We start from the raw sequence: 17,096 nt of genomic DNA, 5'->3' as shown, positions 1-17,096 counted from the left end.
AATTTTGGCTTTTGTTGCCATTGCTTTTGGTGTGTTAGTCATGAAGATTTTGTCAATGCCTATGTCCTGAATGTAATTGCCTAAGTTTTCTTCTAGGGTTTTTATGGTGTTAGGTCTAACATTTAAGTCTTTAATCCATCTTGAATTTATTTTTGTATAAGGTGTAAGGAAGGGGTCCAGTTTCAGTTTTCTGCATATGGCTAGCCAGTTTTCCCAACACTATTTATTAAATAGGGAATCCTTTCCCCATTGCTTGTTTTTGTCAGGTTTGTCAAAGATCAGATGGTTGTAGATGTGTGGTGTTATTTCTGAGGCCTCTCTTCTGTTCCATTGGTCTATATATCTGTTTTGGTACCAGTACCATGCTGTTTTGGTTACTGTAGCTTTGTAGTATAGTTTGAAGTCAGGTAGCGTGATGCCTCCACCTTTGTTCTTTTTCCTTAGGATTGTCTTGGCTATATGGGCTCTTTTTTGGTTCTATATGAAATTTAAAGTACTTTTTTTCTAATTCTGTGAAGAAAGTCAGTGGTAGCTTGATGGGGATAGCATTGAATCTATAAATTACTTTGGGCAGTATGGCCATTTTCATGACATTGATTCTTCCTATCCATGAGCATGGAATGTTTTTCCATTTGTTTGTTTCCTCTCTTATTTCCTTGAGCAGTGGTTTGTAGTTCTCCTTGAAGAGGTCCTTCACATCCCCTGTAAATTGTATTCCTAGATATTTCATTCTCTTTGTAGCAATTGTGAATGGGAGTTCTGGAGTGAACATTCTTTTTTTTTTTTTTTAATTTTTTTTTTATTTTTATTGATCATTCTTGGGTGTTTCTCACAGAGGGGGATTTGGCAGGGTCATAGGACAATAGTGGAGGGAAGGTCAGCAGATAAACAAGTGAACAAAGGTCTCTGGTTTTCCTAGGCAGAGGACCCTGTGTGTTTGTGTCCCTGGGTACTTGAGATTAGGGAGTGGTGATGACTCTTAACGAGCATGCTGCCTTCAAGCATCTGTTTAACAAAGCACATCTTGCACCACCCTTAATCCATTTAACCCTGAGTGGACACAGCACATGTTTCAGAGAGCACCGGGTTGGGGGTAAGGTCATAGATCAACAGCATCCCAAGGCAGAAGAATTTTTCTTAGTACAGAACAAAATGGAGTCTCCTATGTCTACTTCTTTCTACACAAACACAGCAACAATCTGATTTCTCTATCTTTTCCCCACATTTCCCCCTTTCCTATTCGACAAAACCGCCATCGTCATCATGGCCCATTCTCAATGAGCTGTTGGGTACACCTCCCAGATGGGGTGGCAGCTGGGCAGAGGGGCTCCTCACTTCCCAGAAGGGGTGGCCAGGCAGAGGCGCCCCCCACCTCCCGGACGGGGGGGCTGGCCGGGCAGGGGCTGCCTGGAGTGAACATTCTTTAAGCCCATCTTTAAAGAGTTTGTTAGAGGTCCTCACTCAGGGATGAATCACTTGGATAGAAACATGAGAAAGAAAAGAAAACCTATACATCACTCTCTATAACTTGGATTTTCCTCTTCTGAGGGGGTATCTGAATCATCTAGGAAGAATTGAACTATAAGGAACACAACCTGCAAAGAAAGGTGGCCTAAACCATGAGGACAGGTACCAAGTAGCCCTGAGTTAGGGCAGCTCCAAGGCTTGCCAATTGGGTGGATTTTCAATGACATTTTGAACTTGGGCTCTTCCCAGTCTGTCTTCTTCAGCCTGTTGGTTTGTCCTCTTGCTGGCCCCCTCATGGTCCCAAGATGGCGGCAACAGTTCCAAAAGTCTACTGGAATGATAAAAGGAAGAATCATCTCATGGATCTCTTTCAAAGAGGAGGGAAGCCTTTCCAGAAAGCCCCTCAGCTGACTCCTCACATCTCATTGGCTGTAACTGTGTTATATGCTCTCTCTTCAACCAATTGCCAGCAAGCTACACTTGGCTTGGATTGGTTAAGATTTTTTCCCTATAGTTGAAGAGGGCACCTTCCCTGGTGCTTGTCCAGGCTAGGCAGAGGGTAAAATCCTGAAGAAAATCAAGGTTCTACCAGCAGCAAAGAATGGATTTGGGTAGACAACCAATAAGAGCTGCCATTAACAATCACTTATTAAGGCCTGGCATGGTGGCTCACACCTGTAATCCTAACACTTTGGGAGGCTGAGGTGGGTGGACTGCCTGAGCTCAGGAGTTCAAGACCAACCTGGGCAACATGGTGAAACCCTGTCTCTACTAAAAATGCAAAAAATTAGCTGGGCGTGGTGGCACGCCTGTAGTCCCAGCCACTCGGGAGACTGAGGCACGAGAATCTCTTGAACCTGGGAAGCAGAGGTTGCAGTGAGCCAAGATTGCACCACTGCACTCCAGCCTGGGCAACAGAGTGAGACTGTCTCAAAAACAAAACAAACAAACAAAAAAACCAATCACGTTAAAAATAACAAAACATTTCTTCAACTTCTGAAGTCAAGGAGTGTAATATTCAACTATTATATAGAAATGCTGCGTAACAGCCACAACAATTTCAGCGGCATAAAACAATAATAGCCATTGATTGAGCTCATCTGTCTGTGGGTCAGCTGGAGGTAGTCTAAAGTAGACTAGGCCTGGCTGGACATGGCTCAGCTCCACCTGACTCTTATCCTTCTCCTGCAACCACAGACTGGTTTGGGCATGTTCTTCTCGCCAAGACGGTTGAGGTACAAAAGCCCAGGCCCGGAGTGTAGGTCTGTTCCAAGCCTCTTCTTGCATCATGTCTGCCAACATCCCATTGGCCAAAGCAGGTCTCGTGGCCAACCATGGCATCGGTGGGGCAGAAAGCCATGTGATGCCCACTTCATGGAAAGTCCCAGAGTCAAATGACCGAGGGTGTAAATACAGGGAAGGGTGACAAACTGGAGTCAATGATGCAATCTACCACACAAGAGGAAAGAAAGAAAATATTACATTGAAAATAAAATTGGGCTGGGTGTGGTGGCTCATGCCTGTAATCCCAGCACTTTGGGAGACCGAGGCAGGTGGATCACCTGAGGTCAGGAGTTCAAGACCAGCCTGGCCAACATGGTGAAACCCTGTCTCTTCTAAAAGTCCAAAAACTTAGCTGGGCGTGGTGGTGGGCACCTATAATCCCAGCTATTGGGAGGCTGAGGCAGGAGAATCGCTTGAACCTGGGAGGTGGAGGTTGCAGTGAGCCGAGATCATGCCATTGCACTCCAGCCTGGGCAACAAGAGGGAAACTCCATCTCAAAAAATAAATAAATAAATAAAAATAAAAATAAAAAATAAAATTAAGGGTAACTTTAAAAATCCTTTTTTTTTTTTTTAAAAAAAACTGTACTTTAACGATTTAAAATCTTTCTTTAGAGTATAAAAGAATTAGAGGCTGTTCAGGTGTGTCTAAACGTTAAAAAATTGTGTGTGGGTATGTGTGTATAGATAGCAAAGGGTCTCAAAAGCAGATTTTTCTAGCTCTGAATGCCACCACTACCTATTGTTCTATTAGCACTATATATTAGGGTATCAGTTTTACAGAGCTAACTACTCCCATTGCTCCCTCTCCCCCTCTTCAAAAGCAATCTGTACAGTCTATATTGAGGAAATAAATGAAAACCACTGAAATGAGAAAAAACAAGGCTGTTTATTTAGAACAGAAACTCAAAGGCAGGCAGGGGAATGGGGAAGCTTTATGGTGAAGAAAAAGGAAGACTTCGCATGTACTTTGATTGGAGGTTGTTGGCCTAGGGAAGCTGGAGGCAGACTAATTAGAAACAGGGCATTTTATGTGATTGGTCCTGAGTTGGTTGGAAGCAGGGGCAAAAAATAGGGAAGCTGGCAGTTGTTGCCCAAAGCCTGACTTTTCTGGCTGATTGCTGCAGAGGCTGTGGTTTGGCTTCTGGGCAAGTGACTGCTAAGTTTGTGGATCAGAGGTCTACAGTCATCTAAGGTCTGGCCACTGTCCATTTGTATATTCAGTCTCTCAAGACACATCAGAGAAAGCTCCAGCTCCTCAGCATAGAATAAAGAGCCCTACACACTTGACTCCAAGCAAGGTGGGGTTTCTGATCCCCTCTCCTGACATCAGAGCCACCCCTACCCACAGACACATCCAGATCCCACCTCACCAAACCAACCATGGCAGGTCTTCCATGTCCCCCGTACAGAGTGTGTCTTTCTCATGCCATACCTTTGCCTGAACTTGCCTTTGGCCTGAATACCTCTCCATTGCTTTACACCTGTCCATCAAGAATGGGCCAAGAACCTGCACCCTGCACCTTTTCTCAATCTCTTTTCCTCCACCTTACCTGGTTCTACCCCAAACAGAATTAATTGCTTTTTTCTCTGTGGTCCCTGAACTATTTATATGTACATTTATTGGAGTGGGGGAACTGCACTGTGCTAAAGGCATTTGCTGCTGCTTTTTCCCTTCCCCTATGCTGTGAACACCCTGAAGAACATTATGCTTTATTTGTTTCTAGTATAGGACTCTGCAGATAGTAGTCTTACAACAAAGGCTTTTTTGAAGGAAGAACAGAGGAAGGAAAGAAGGAAGCAAAGAAGAGGGAAGGAAAGGAAGGTCATAGGTAGGGTTGACAGATAAAATACGGGATACCCAGTTAAACTTGAATTTCAGATGAATAACGAATAATTTTTAGTATAAATATGTTCCAAATATTGCATTTGTAATTTTTTTTTTTTTTTGAGATGGAGTCTCGCTCTGTTGCCCAGGCTGGAGTGCAGTGGCATGATCTCAGCTCACTGCAAGCTCCGCCTCCCGGGTTTTCACCATTCTCCTACCTCAGCCTCCGGAGTAGCTGGGACTGTAGGCGCCCACCACCACGCCCGGCTAATTTTTTTTTTTTTTTTGTATTTTCAGTAGAGACGGGGTTTCACCATGTTAGCCAGGATGATCTCGATCTCATGACCTCGTGATCTGCCCGCCTTGGCCTCCCAAAGTGCTGGGATTACAGGCGTGTGCCACCGCGCCCGGCTGCATTTGTAAATTTTTAAATATTCCATGGGACATACTCATACTAAAATACCAGTTGTCCCCTATACAAAACAAATTCAACTGGGCCTCCTGCATTCTTATTTGCTAAATACAGCAACTCTGGTCAAAGGGCAAACACCTAATTAAACATTATTATTACTATTATTTGGGGGGTTTTCTTTTTTTAAATGTCAGTCATTTTTGGGAAACAGGTGGTTTTCTCTTACATGGATAAATACTTTAGTGGTAATTTCTGAGATTTTGGTTCACCCGTCCCACAAGCAATGTACACTGTACCCAGTGTGTAGTCTTTTGTCCCTCACCCCCCTCCCACCCTTCTTCCTGAGTCCCCAAAGTCCATTATGTCATTCTTTTTTTTTTTTTTTTTTTTTTGAGACGGAGTCTTGCTCTGCTGCCCAGGCTGGAGTGCAGTGGCGCGATCTCGGCTCACAGCAAGTTCCGCCTCCTGGGTTCACGCGCCCGCCACCGCGCCTGGCTAATTTTTTTGTATTTTTAGTAGAGACGGGGTTCACCGTGTTAGCCAGGACGGTCTTGATCTCCTGACCTCGTGATCCGCCCGCCTTGGCCTCCCAAAGTGCTGGGATTACAGGTGCGAGCCACCGCGCCCGGCCCCCCATTATGTCATTCTTAGGCCTTTGCGCCCTCATAGCTAAGCTCTCACTTGTAAGTGAGAACATAAGATGTTTGGTTTTCCATTCCTGAGTTACTTCACTTAGAATAATGGTCTCCAACTCCATCCAGGTTGCTATGAATGCTATTCACATGAGTAGTATTCCATGGTGTACATATAACACATTTTCTTTATCCACTCATTGGTCACTGGGCATTTAGGCTGGTTCCATATTTTTGCAATTGCGAATTGTGCTGCTATAAACGTGTGTGCAAATGTCTTTTTCATATAATGACTTATTTTCCTCTGGGTAGATACCCAGTAGTGGGATTATTGGATCAAATGGTAGATCTACTTTCAGTTCTTTAAGGAATCTCCATTCTGTTTTCCATATTGGTTGTACAAGTTTACCTTCCCACCAGCAGTGTAAAAGTGTTCTTTTGTCACCAAATCCATGCCAACATCTATTATTTTTTGATTTTTTATTTATGACCATTCTTGCAGAGTAAGGTGGTTTCTCATTGTGTTTTTAAATTTGCATTTCCCTGATACTTAGTGATGTTTAACATTTTTTCATGTTTGTTCGCCGTTTGTATATCTTCTTTTGAAGAACTGTCTATCCATGTCCTTTGCCCACTTTTTGATGACGTTGTTTTTTCTTGCTGATTTGTTTCAGTTCCTTGTAGATTCTGGATATTAGTCCTTCGTCAGATGCATAGTTTGCGGATATTTCCTCCCATTCTGTGGGTTTTCTGTTTGCTCTTCTGGTTATTTGGTTTGCTCTGCAGAAGCTTTTTAGCTTAATTAGGCCCCATCTATTTATTTCGTTTTGTTGCATTTGCTTTCGGGTTCTTGGTCATGAACTCTTTGCCTAAGCCAACGTCTGGAAGAGTTTTACCAAAGTTATCTTCTAGAATGTTTATGATTTCATGTTTTAGATTTAGGTCTTTGATTCATCTTGAGTTGATTTTTGTATAAGGTGAGAGATGAGGATCCAGTTTCATTCTCCTACATGGGACTTGCCAATTATCCCAGCACCATTTGTTGAATAGGGTGTCCTTTCCCCACTTTATGTTTTTGTTTGCTTGGTTGAAGATCAGTTGGCTGTAAGTATTTGGCTTTATTTCTGGGTTCTCTATTCTGTTCCATTGGTCTACATGCCTATTTTTATGCCAGTACCATGCTGTTTTGGTGACTATGGCCTTATAGGATAGCTTGAAGTCAGGTAATGTGATGCCTCCAGATTTGTTCTTTTTGCTGTGTCTTGCTTTGGCTATGTGGGCTCTTTTCTGGTTCCATATGAATTTTAGGATTGTTTTTTCTAGTTGTTTGAAGAATTATGGTGGTATTTTGATGGGAGTTGCACTGAATTTGTAGATTGCTTTTGGCACTATGGTCATTTTCACAATATTGATTCTACCCATCCATGAGCATGGGATGTGTTTCCATTTGTTTGTGTTGTCTATGATTTCTTTCAGCAGTGTTTTGTAGCTTTCCTTGTAGAAGTCTTTCACCTCCTTGGTTGAGTATATTTCTAAGTATTTTATTTTATTTTATTTTTTGCAGCTGTTGTGAAATGGATTGAGTCTTTGATTTATTTCTCAGCTTGGTCGCTGTTGGTGTATAGCAATGCTACTGATTTGTGTACATTGATTTTGCTTCCTGAATTGATTTTGAAACTTTACTGAATTCATTTATCAGATCTAGGAGTTTTTTGGATGAGTCTTTAGGGTTTTATAGGTATATGATCATATCATCGGCAAACAGCGATGGTTTGACTTCCTCTTTACCGATTTGGATGCCCTTTATTTCTTTCTCTTGTCTGATTGCTCTGGCTAGGACTTCCAGTCTATGTTGAATAGAGGTGGTGAAAGTGGGCATTCTTGTCTTGTTCCGGTTTTCAGGGGCAATGCTTTCAACTTTTCCCCATTCAGTATAATGTTGGCTGAGGGTTTGTCATAGATGGCTTTTATTACCTTGAGGCATATCCCTTCTATGCCAATTTTGCTGAGAGTTTTAATCATGAAGGGAAGCTAGATTTTGCCAAATGCCTTTTCTGCATCTATTGAGATAATCACATAATTTTTGTTTTTAATTCTGTTTATGTGAAGTATCACATTTATTGACTTGCATATGTTAAACTATCCCTGCATCCCTGCTATGAAACCCACTTGATTATGGGTGTGTTATCTTTTTGATATGCTGTTGGATTCAGTTAGCTAGTATTTTGTTGAAGATTTTTGCATCTATGTTCATCAGGGATGCTGGTCTATAGTTTTCTTTTTTTGTTATGTCTTTTTCCGGTTTTAGAATTAGGATGATACTTGCTCCATAGAATGATTTAGGGAGGATTCCCTCTTTGTCTTTTGGAAGAGTTTCAATAAGATTGGTACCAATTCTTCTTTGAATGCCTGTGAATCCGTCTGGTCCTGGGCTTTATTTTGTTGGCAATTTTTTTTTTTTTTTTACTGTCTTAATCTTGTTATTGGTCTGTTTAGAGTTTCTATTTCTTACTGATTTAATCTGGGAGGGTTGTATATTTCCAGGAATTTATCCATCTCTAGATTTTCTAGTTTGTGTGCATAAAGGTGTCCACAGTAGCCTTTTGTATTCCAGTGGTATCAGTTGTAGTATCTCCCATTTCATTTTTAATTGAGCTTATTTGGATCTTCTCTTGTCTTTTCTTGGTGAATCTCGCTAATGATCTATCAATTTTGTTTATCTTTTCAAAGAACCAGCTTTTTGTTTCATTTATCTTTTGTATAGGTTTTGTTAGTTTGATTGTTTCCATTTTATTTAGTTCTGCTCTGATCTTGATTATTTTTTTTTCTTCTGCTGGGTTTGGGTTTGGTTTGTTCTTGTTTCTCTAGTTCCTTGAAGTGTGACCTCAAGGCTGGGGCACATTAGCCCTACCACCACACCCAGCTATTTTTCTGTCTTCTTGTCTGATGTTTTCTCACCCCAAGCCAGCACCACTGCCCTGCCAACTGCCAGGGTATCCTCAGATTCTAGGAGCACTGCCTATTATTATTATTTTTAATTATTCTTATTTTTTGAGACTGGGTCTCACTCTGTTGCCCAGACTGGAGTGCAGTGGTGTGATCTTGGCTCACTGTAATCTCTGCCTCCTCAAGCAATCCTCCTGCCTCAGCCTACCAAGTAGTTGGGACTGCAGGTGCACACCACAATCCCTAGCTAATTTTTGTATATTTTGTAGACATGGAGTTTTGCCATGTTGTCCAGGCTGGTCTTGAACTATTAGACTCAAGCAATCCTCCCACCTTGGCCTCTCAAAGTGCTTGGATTACAGGCATGAGCCACCACACCCGGCCCCTGATTAGACTTGAAAATAGTCTGATTCCTAGGCCCAGAGAAAGTCTCTTGGGTCCACTTTTCCCTTCCCTGTTTGCAAGAACTCTGCCATGGGGCTGGCCAGGTTTACTGCTGTTGGGCTGACATGATAAACCCACCAAAAGGGTGGCTCCTTTTTTGGAGATCAGAAACTAGGCTGGTGGTTGCCCAGAGAGTGCTTTGAAGCATCATAGAGGAGAGGAAATGCATGGAATGATTGTGGGAAGACAGGGAGAAGGAACCATAGGACCCCTTTTCTAAGTCTCAGGCATTTCCTCCTCATGGAAGATGTGAGTTGACTGTAAAATACAAGGAGGAAGGCTTCCATGATAAAGCATGGTGTTCAGAGGAGCCCTGCAGAGTCAGGAAGGAGGGAAAGACAGAGGCTGGTCCACACGGTGCCCCAACTCTCATTCTGGACCCCAATTCATCCATTGACATTGCAGGGAGAACGTGTGCAGTGGGCTGAATGATGACCCTAAAAACCTGCGAACGTGACCTTATTTGGAAACGGGGTCTTTGCAGATGTAATTAAAGATTTTGAGATGAAGTGGTCATCCTGATTATCCAAGTGAGCCTGAAATCCAATGACACATGTCCTGATAAAGGACACACAGAGGAAAAGACAGAAACATGGATGAAAAGGCAAAGTGAAGACAGAGCAAAGCCGTCCAAGCCAAGGAATGCTGATGGCACTAGAAGCTGGAAGAGGCAAGAAAGGAGCCTCTCCTAGGGCCTTCAGAGGGAGCGTGGCCCTGCTGACACTGCCGACACCTGGATTTCGACTTCTGGCCTCCAGAACTGTAAGAGAACAAATTTCTATTGTTTTAAGTGGCTGAATTTGTAGTAATTTGTTATGACAGTTGTAGAAAACTAATGGGACATAGGACTAGAGTCCTAAAGCCCAGTCCATGGTCAGGGAAGTGGAGAGGGAGCTGAGGATATCCTCCCCAGGGGCCACAGACTCATGTGAATATAAAGCCTTTTTTGGTTTCTTTTGAGTAAATCACTCGCAATCCCATAGATTTCTGATTTTTTTTTTTTTTTTGAGACAGATTCTTGATCTGTTGCAGGCTGGAGTGTAGTGGCCTGATCTCAGCTCTCTGCACCCTCTGCCCCCTGGGTTCAAGCAATTCGGGTTCAAGTGATTCTCATGCCTCAGCCTCCTGAGTAGCTGGGACTACAGGCATACACTACCATGCCCGGCTAATTTTGTATTTTTAGTAGAGACGGGGTTTCACCATGTTGGCCAGGCTGGTCTTGAACTCCTGGCCACAAGTGACCCGCCTGCCTCAACCTCCCAAAGTGTTGGGATTACAGGCATGAGCCACCGCGCCCAGCCAGATTTCCAATTTTATATAAGACCAAGCCCTACTTACCAGATACTTTTATATAAACTATTCAGTTGCTACTAACATTGGGCATAAGGCATTGTTTTACACTTTAATATCATGTACAAAACCACTTTTTTTTTGATAAAGCAAATCAGTGGTTTCCAAGTGGGGCGCTCAGCACAAGGTGCTGGGTTGTGTGAAAAAATATTGGAACTTTGGGGCTAAAAAAATAACAAAGCAATTATACTTTCCTAATCTTTTAATGTTCAGAAGATGATACTTTCAAGGATCATTTCTATCATTTGTTACTAGAAAAGTTTCTCTGAATGTGTAGAACACCAAAAAGTATTAAACAAAAATTTTAAAAACCCACAAAGCACAAAACGGACTCAGCTTGACAGTCATAGCTTTCCTCAGAGGCTCCTTTGCCACCCATGGCACAGGTGCAGCCTTGAATGCTCTGTGATGTGGGGGCCGGTGCTGGTAACCTCACCACCTGCACATCAACACTCAGGGGAATCTGAGATAGTTTGGTCTATTCGCAAGTGGGTAGATGGATTTATAAACTACACAACCTAGGCCATTTTTTGTTTTTGTTTTTAAAGAGACAGGATCTGGCCCTGTCCCCCACACTGGAGTGCAGTGGTGCGATCTTAGCTCACTGCAGCCTCGAACTCCTGGGCTCAAGCAATCCTCCTGTCTCAGCCTCCTGAGTCGCTGTGACTATAGGTGCATGCCACCACACCCAGGTTTTTTTTTTTTGTTTTTTGTTTTTTTCCTGTAGAGATGAGGTCTTTTTGTGTTGCCTAGGCTGGTCTCAAATTCCTGGCCTCAAAAGATCCACCTGCTTCAGCCTCCCAAATTGCTAGGATTTATAGATGTGAGGCACTGGACCCAGCCCATGATCTAGTTTTACCAAAATTGATCTTTACAAAATGAAAATGTTTTAATAGATTATTATAGATTGAAGATTAAAGATAATACTAATAGTATAAGTCCCAGAAAACCATAAGAAATTGGCAGAGCTTATGTGGCTAGTATCAGCTCTATATCAGCACATTATGAGGTAAAATGAAATCTGCCAAGAAGTCAGCCTCTTTGCCCCCCAAACTAAAATGATCAAGAGGGTCCCTTGAAAGATGGATTTATGTCCACTGTCATTCATGAGCTCACCCTTAGTGTGTATTGTGCCTTGCAATATTATTTATTAATAAAAAAATGCCATCAAAATTAACACTAAAATATTACATCTTTAACTCATCTTTAAAAAATTTTTAATGTAATGTATATATAATGTATACATAAATATGCATGTATTGGAGCTGCAAATGTCTTAAAAAATAGAGATTTCTATGGACTGAACTGTGTTCCAACAAATACATATGTTGAAGCCCTAATCCCCAGTGTGACTGTATTTGGACATGGGGCTTTTAGGAGGTAATTAAGGTTAAATAAGGTCATAAGGGTGGGGTCCTAATCAATTGAATTGGTGACCTTGTAAGAGAGGGATGAGAGAGATATTGTGCTCTCTCTCCCTGTGCATACATCCAGGAAGGACCATGTAAGAACATAGCAAGAAGGCAGCCATCTGCAGACCAGGAAGAGAGACCCCACCACAACCCAACCATACCAGCACCCTGATCTTGGGTTTCCATAACTATGAAAAAATAAACTTCTGTTGTTTAAGCTATTCTGTCTGTGTTATTTTGTGATGGCAGCCTGAACAGACTAATACAGGGATATATGATCAAAAACATTCGGAGACCACTGAGAAATGGGTCAGTGTAGTTGGTTGTGGCAGTAACAGCTCCCACTTGTTCCTGGTTCCCTCGTTCCATGCCCTTGGGTGGTCCCCTCCCACGGACTCTGGCCTTGTGACTTGCTTTGGACAATGTAAAAATAGCTAATGTGTCACAAGCAGAGGAAAGTGCTTGTGAGTTGGTGTTTGCCTTCTTTCTTACCGTGGGACCTTCTGGCACCTACTGAACAAGACCATTGTACCCTCCTTGTGTGTCCAGAATTGGCGGGTTCTTGGTCTCACTGACTTCAAGAATGAAGCCGCGGACCCTCACGGTGAGTGTTACAGCTCTTAAGGTGGCGCGTGTGGAGTCTCTCCCTTCTGATATTCAGATGTGTTCGGAGTTTCTTCCTTCTGGTGGGTTTGTGGTCTCGCTGGCTCAGGAGTGAAGCTGCAGACCTTCACGGTGAGTATTATAGCTCTTAAGGCAACGCGTCTGTAGTTCGTTCCTTCCGGGGGGCTCGTGGTCTCGCTGGGCTCAGGAGTGAAACTGCAAATCTTCGCGGTGAGTGTTACAGCTCAGAAAAGCAGCGTGGACCCAAAGAGTGAGCAGTAGCAAGATTTATTGCAAACAACAAAAGAACAAACCTTCCACAGTGCACAAGGGGACCCAAGCCCGTTGCCAATGCTAGCTCGGGCAGCCTGCTTTTATTCTCTTATCTGGCCCCACCCACATCCTGCTGATTGGTAGAGCCGAGTGGCCTGTTTTGTCAGGGCGCTGATTGGTGCGTTTACAATCCCTGAGGTAGATACAAAGGTTCTCCACGTCCCCATCAGATTAGTTAGATACAGAGTTTCGACACACAGGTTCTCCAGGGCCCCACCAGAGCAGCTAGATACTGAGTGTCGATTGGTGCATTCACAGACCTTGAGCTAAACACAGGGTGCTGATTGGTGTATTTACAATCCCTGACCTAGACATAAAGGTTCTCCAAGGCCCCACCAGAGCAGCTAGATACGGAGTGTCGATTGGTGCCCTCACAAACCTTGAGCTAAACACAGGGTGATGATTGGTGTATTTACAATCCCTGAACTAGATATAAAGACTCTCCACGTCCCCACCAGACTCAGGAGTCCAGCTGGCTTCACCTAGTGCATCCCGCACCGGGGCTGCAGGTGGAGCTGCCTGCCAGTCCTGTGCCCTGCGCTCGCATTCCTCAGCCCTTGGGTGGTCGATGGGACTGGACGTCGTGGAGTAGGGGGTGGTGCTCGTCGGGGAGGCTCAGGCCGCACAGGAGCCCATGGAGTGGGTGGGAGGCTCAGGCATGGCGGGCTGCATGTCCCGAGCCCTGCCCCGCGGGAAGGCAGCTAAGGCCCAGCGAGAAATCGAGCGCAGCGCCGGTGGGCCGGCACTGCTGGGGGACTCAGTAGACCCTCCGCAGCCACTGGCCCGGGTGCTAAGTCCCCCATTGCCCGGGGCCAGCAGGGCTGGCTGGCTGCTCCGAGTGCGGGGCCCACCAAGCCCACGCCCACCTGGAACTCCAGCTGGCCCGCAAGCGCTGCACGCAGCCCCGGTTCCCGCTCGTGCCTCTCCCTCCACACCTCCCTGCAAGCTGAGGGAGTGGGCTCCAGCCTTGGCCAGCCCAGAAAGGGGCTTCCACAGTGCAGAGGGGGCGCTGAAGGGCTCCTCAAATGCCACCAAAGTGGGAGCCCAGGCAGGGGAGGTGCCGAGAGCAAGCGAGGGCTCTGAGGACTGCCAGCATGCTGTCACCTCTCACTTGTAGGTTAAGAAACCATGGGGAAGGTGGCTGCAAACATCCCAACTGAGGCCCAGGACCCATGTATCATCCTGGACCACCCACCTCTGGCTAACCTGGTCCAGAACACAAGAATTGCTCGGATCACCCATAGAGTCATGAGAAAGCAGAAACATCTGTTGCTTGAAGCCACTGAGTTTCTGGGTGGTTATGGAGAAAAAGCCAAGTCATACAGTGGGGCAGGTACATCACAAACTCTTGCCCGGTTTAAATGCCTTGTAGCCTAACAAATGGATGTTCATCAGATGTGTGACATTTCCAGAGCCTAGAATAGGGCCTAGCACATATTAGATGCTCAAAAACATTTATTGAGTAAATGAAGAAGATAAATCATAGCAAACACACACTGAACAGTTCCTAAATATGTTTACATGGATTCTTGCACTTAATCCTTTGCCCAAAACATGAGGTAGGTACTATGATTTTCATGCCCATTTTAAGATGGGGCAACCAAAGCTTAGGGAAGTTAAGTCCCTTGCCCGAGATTAGACCACTGGAAACAGCTGGATAGGGACTGGGTCTCTCCCATCCTGCCTGTCTGCCTGCATAGTAGCCACTTAGGTGCTGTGCAATACCACCAATTCTAGACTGCCTGTCCCTCTATATGGAATGAAATTCTGAGAATAAAAGCCAGAAACAGAATTTTCAGAGTCCCTCTGTTGCTTAAGTTGTCCTTAGTTCATCGGGCCCCTCCAGGCATACAGTGGTGGCTGGGGTCTGATCATTTAGCTCTGAGAACCAGGTTTCTCATCATGGTGGCAGCTGTGTGCCTAGTGGGCCCTGCTTGATTGGGAAGAGGTCACCAATGGAGGTCATTAGGAGTAAAAGACGCAGACCAGGAGCTGGCTGCTTCCAGAGCCAGTACCTAGGAGGAGAGCCAGGCTGTGCTCCAGCTTGGGCTCTATGAGAACTAATTGATGCCAGTTGCATTCCCTGGGACCCAGGTGGTGCCCATTATGCAAAGGAACAAAGCCAGCTCAGTAGAGAGTCTGTGCTAGGCAGGGCTTCTGCAGCCAATAGCTTTCCCTGGTGGCATTCTGTGTACGGCCTTCTGTCTGTCCATCCTGACCTGCATCCATCTTCAGATGGACAGAAGCAGCACAGATTGGATTGGCTGCGTAGGGTCTACGCACAGGGTGCATGCTGGGCCACTTGGGCTTTGTTTACGGCAGGCCCCAGTCTGAAGGGAGCAGGTCTGGCAGCTTCTAGAAGAGGACTGTCATGTAACTGGCTAGTGTGCTCAGAGCTTTACATAAGGTTATTCTTTCAGTCCTTGAAGGGAATGAGCTCCCAGTTCCAAGTGTTCCCATGCTGTTATTCTCCATTACAGTATACTATTTGTTGTGATGATTTCGTGTATTTATTTGCTTTCTTTCTCATCTCTTCCCCATTGGGCTTCAAGCTCCATGAAGGTCAAAGTCTTACCTGTCTTTTTCTCCATATCTTCAGCATAATATCATGCAAATAGCAGATGTATAATAAAAATTTGTTTGGTGTTTTTTGAGATGGAGTCTCATTTTGTCACCCAGGCTTGAGTGCAGTGGTACAATCTCGGCTCACTGCAAACTCCACCTCCCAGTTTCAAGTGATTCTCCCGCCTCAGCTCCCAGAGTAGCTGGGATTACAGGCGCGTGCCACCAAGCCCCGCTAATTTTTGTATTTTTAGTAGAGATAGGGTTTCACCATGTTGGCCAGGCTGGACTCGAACTCCTGACCTCAAGTGATCTGCCTGCCTCGGTCTCCCAAAGTGCTGGGATTATAGGCTTGAGCCACCATGCCTGGACTTGTTTGATAAATTCTTGAAGAAAGATATTTTAATTTTTATTTAATAAAGCAAAACTAAAGTTTAGGAATGTTGGGTAACTTACTCATGGTTACACAGCAGTAAATCTTAGAAACTAAATTCTAACTTGGGTTCAACTGACTTTGAAACCTGTGAGGTTTTTCTAAAGCATGAGGTAGGTACCACCTGTGGTAGGAGAGATAATTTAAGTCATGCACAAGCACATTTAAAAAATATTAAATTATAATGCAAAAGTCATTTCCTTTCCATTTATCTTTCAGTTCTGATTATTTCAAGAAAATAATTTTTCCAAAAAGGAGCAGGCCTCAAGTTCAAGAGCAAGGCTAGCAGATGAGGTTTGGCTGTGAGAGGCAGAAAGCTTGAAAAGAGTGGTATTACAAGATAAAGTATGGTTCTTTCTCGTGTAAATGAACCAGAGGCAGGCAGCCTAGGGTTGGAAAAGCAGTTCTATGATTGTCAGAAACTCCTTCTACTACACTGCTCTGGCACCCATATTAGAGTCTCTACTTTATAGCCCAAGATAGTTGCTGCAGCTCCTGCCATCATGTCTACCTTGTAGCCATAAGGAAGAAGGCGAAATTCCTGCCTTCTTCTTTCAGAACCACTTCCTGGAAGTCATATGCAACAATTCAGTTTATAGTCCTTTAGCCACTAGGAGAATTGAAAAAAGAAGGAATGGAGGGAGGAGGAAGGAATGGAGGGAGGAGGAAACAATAATTATGTTTCTATCGCTGTATTAGGAGCCTGGCTTTCACAAGGCCCATGGGCTCGTTGTACTTGGCGGAGTCTCTAAGCTGGAAGCTTTGATCAGAAGATAAAGAAGTGCTTGGTTGTTGGACTGCCTGTACACTGGGACTTGCCCTGTGGTTCTGGGTCCACAAGACTGATGAAGAGAGGAAGTCACTGTACTGGGCCTTGTGGGAGAGGGGCAATTTCCTTTTCTCCCCAGGGTGTATATGTGGGAGGAGGGGCTGTTCCCCTCATTATGCCTCTAAGCCCAATGAAGGGGGAAGATTGCAAAAGAATCCCTATAGGGCTCAGGTGTACCCTGCGGAAGCAGAGCCTGGTACTCCATCCCGGTCAGATAATGCCCAGGCCCTGGACGTGCTGATCTCTGGATGCACCGATCTCTGGATGGGCCTCATTGAGCAGGGGAGAAGAGGGCAGAGAGCAGGCTGGGACAGGCACCTGTCCACCCATGTGTGGCCCTGAACATCCATATGTGTGAGTTTCCCAGGCGTCCAAGGTACGTGGTGGAAGGTGGCTGCCTCCAGGCAAAAGGACCCCCCAGCAGCAAGAGGTTGTGGGTGTAACTGCCAGTGAAGACAGCTCAGGTGTGTGGTGGAGTGGAGCCAGGTTGCTCATGTTAGGGAATCAGGCAATGGAAGGCCTGCCTTGGATCTAGGTGAACTCATGTCTGCATCCCGCAAG

The 17,096-nt window shown here is 44.7% G+C and overlaps 1 long non-coding RNA gene across 2 annotated transcripts in view, besides 1 other annotated feature; it reads left to right on the top strand.

The window, feature by feature from the left end:
- LINC03036 (long intergenic non-protein coding RNA 3036) overlaps window positions 1-11,996 on the top strand; it is a 245,028-nt gene extending 233,032 nt beyond the window's left edge. For both annotated transcript variants that reach the window (NR_186540.1, NR_186541.1), the window contains one exon: window positions 9,498-11,996. This is a non-coding gene — a long non-coding RNA (long intergenic non-protein coding RNA 3036). The remainder of the gene's footprint in view (window positions 1-9,497) is intronic.
- Window positions 716-1,271: an enhancer, noted in NCBI's record as "NANOG-H3K4me1 hESC enhancer chr10:120554781-120555336 (GRCh37/hg19 assembly coordinates)". NCBI's record gives its function as "activates a minimal SCP1, AML or CMV promoter by ChIP-STARR-seq in primed H9 embryonic stem cells {active_cell/tissue: H9 hESC(primed)}" and the evidence as "EXISTENCE:reporter gene assay evidence [ECO:0000049][PMID:30033119]".
- Window positions 11,997-17,096: the final 5,100 nt, after the last annotated feature.

The sequence above is a fragment of the Homo sapiens genome, chromosome 10 (assembly GCF_000001405.40).
Source record: "Homo sapiens chromosome 10, GRCh38.p14 Primary Assembly".
NCBI lineage: Eukaryota > Metazoa > Chordata > Mammalia > Primates > Hominidae > Homo > Homo sapiens.
The sequence above is the reverse complement of the archived record's forward strand: the minus strand, read 5'-3'. Positions and strand labels throughout refer to the sequence as shown.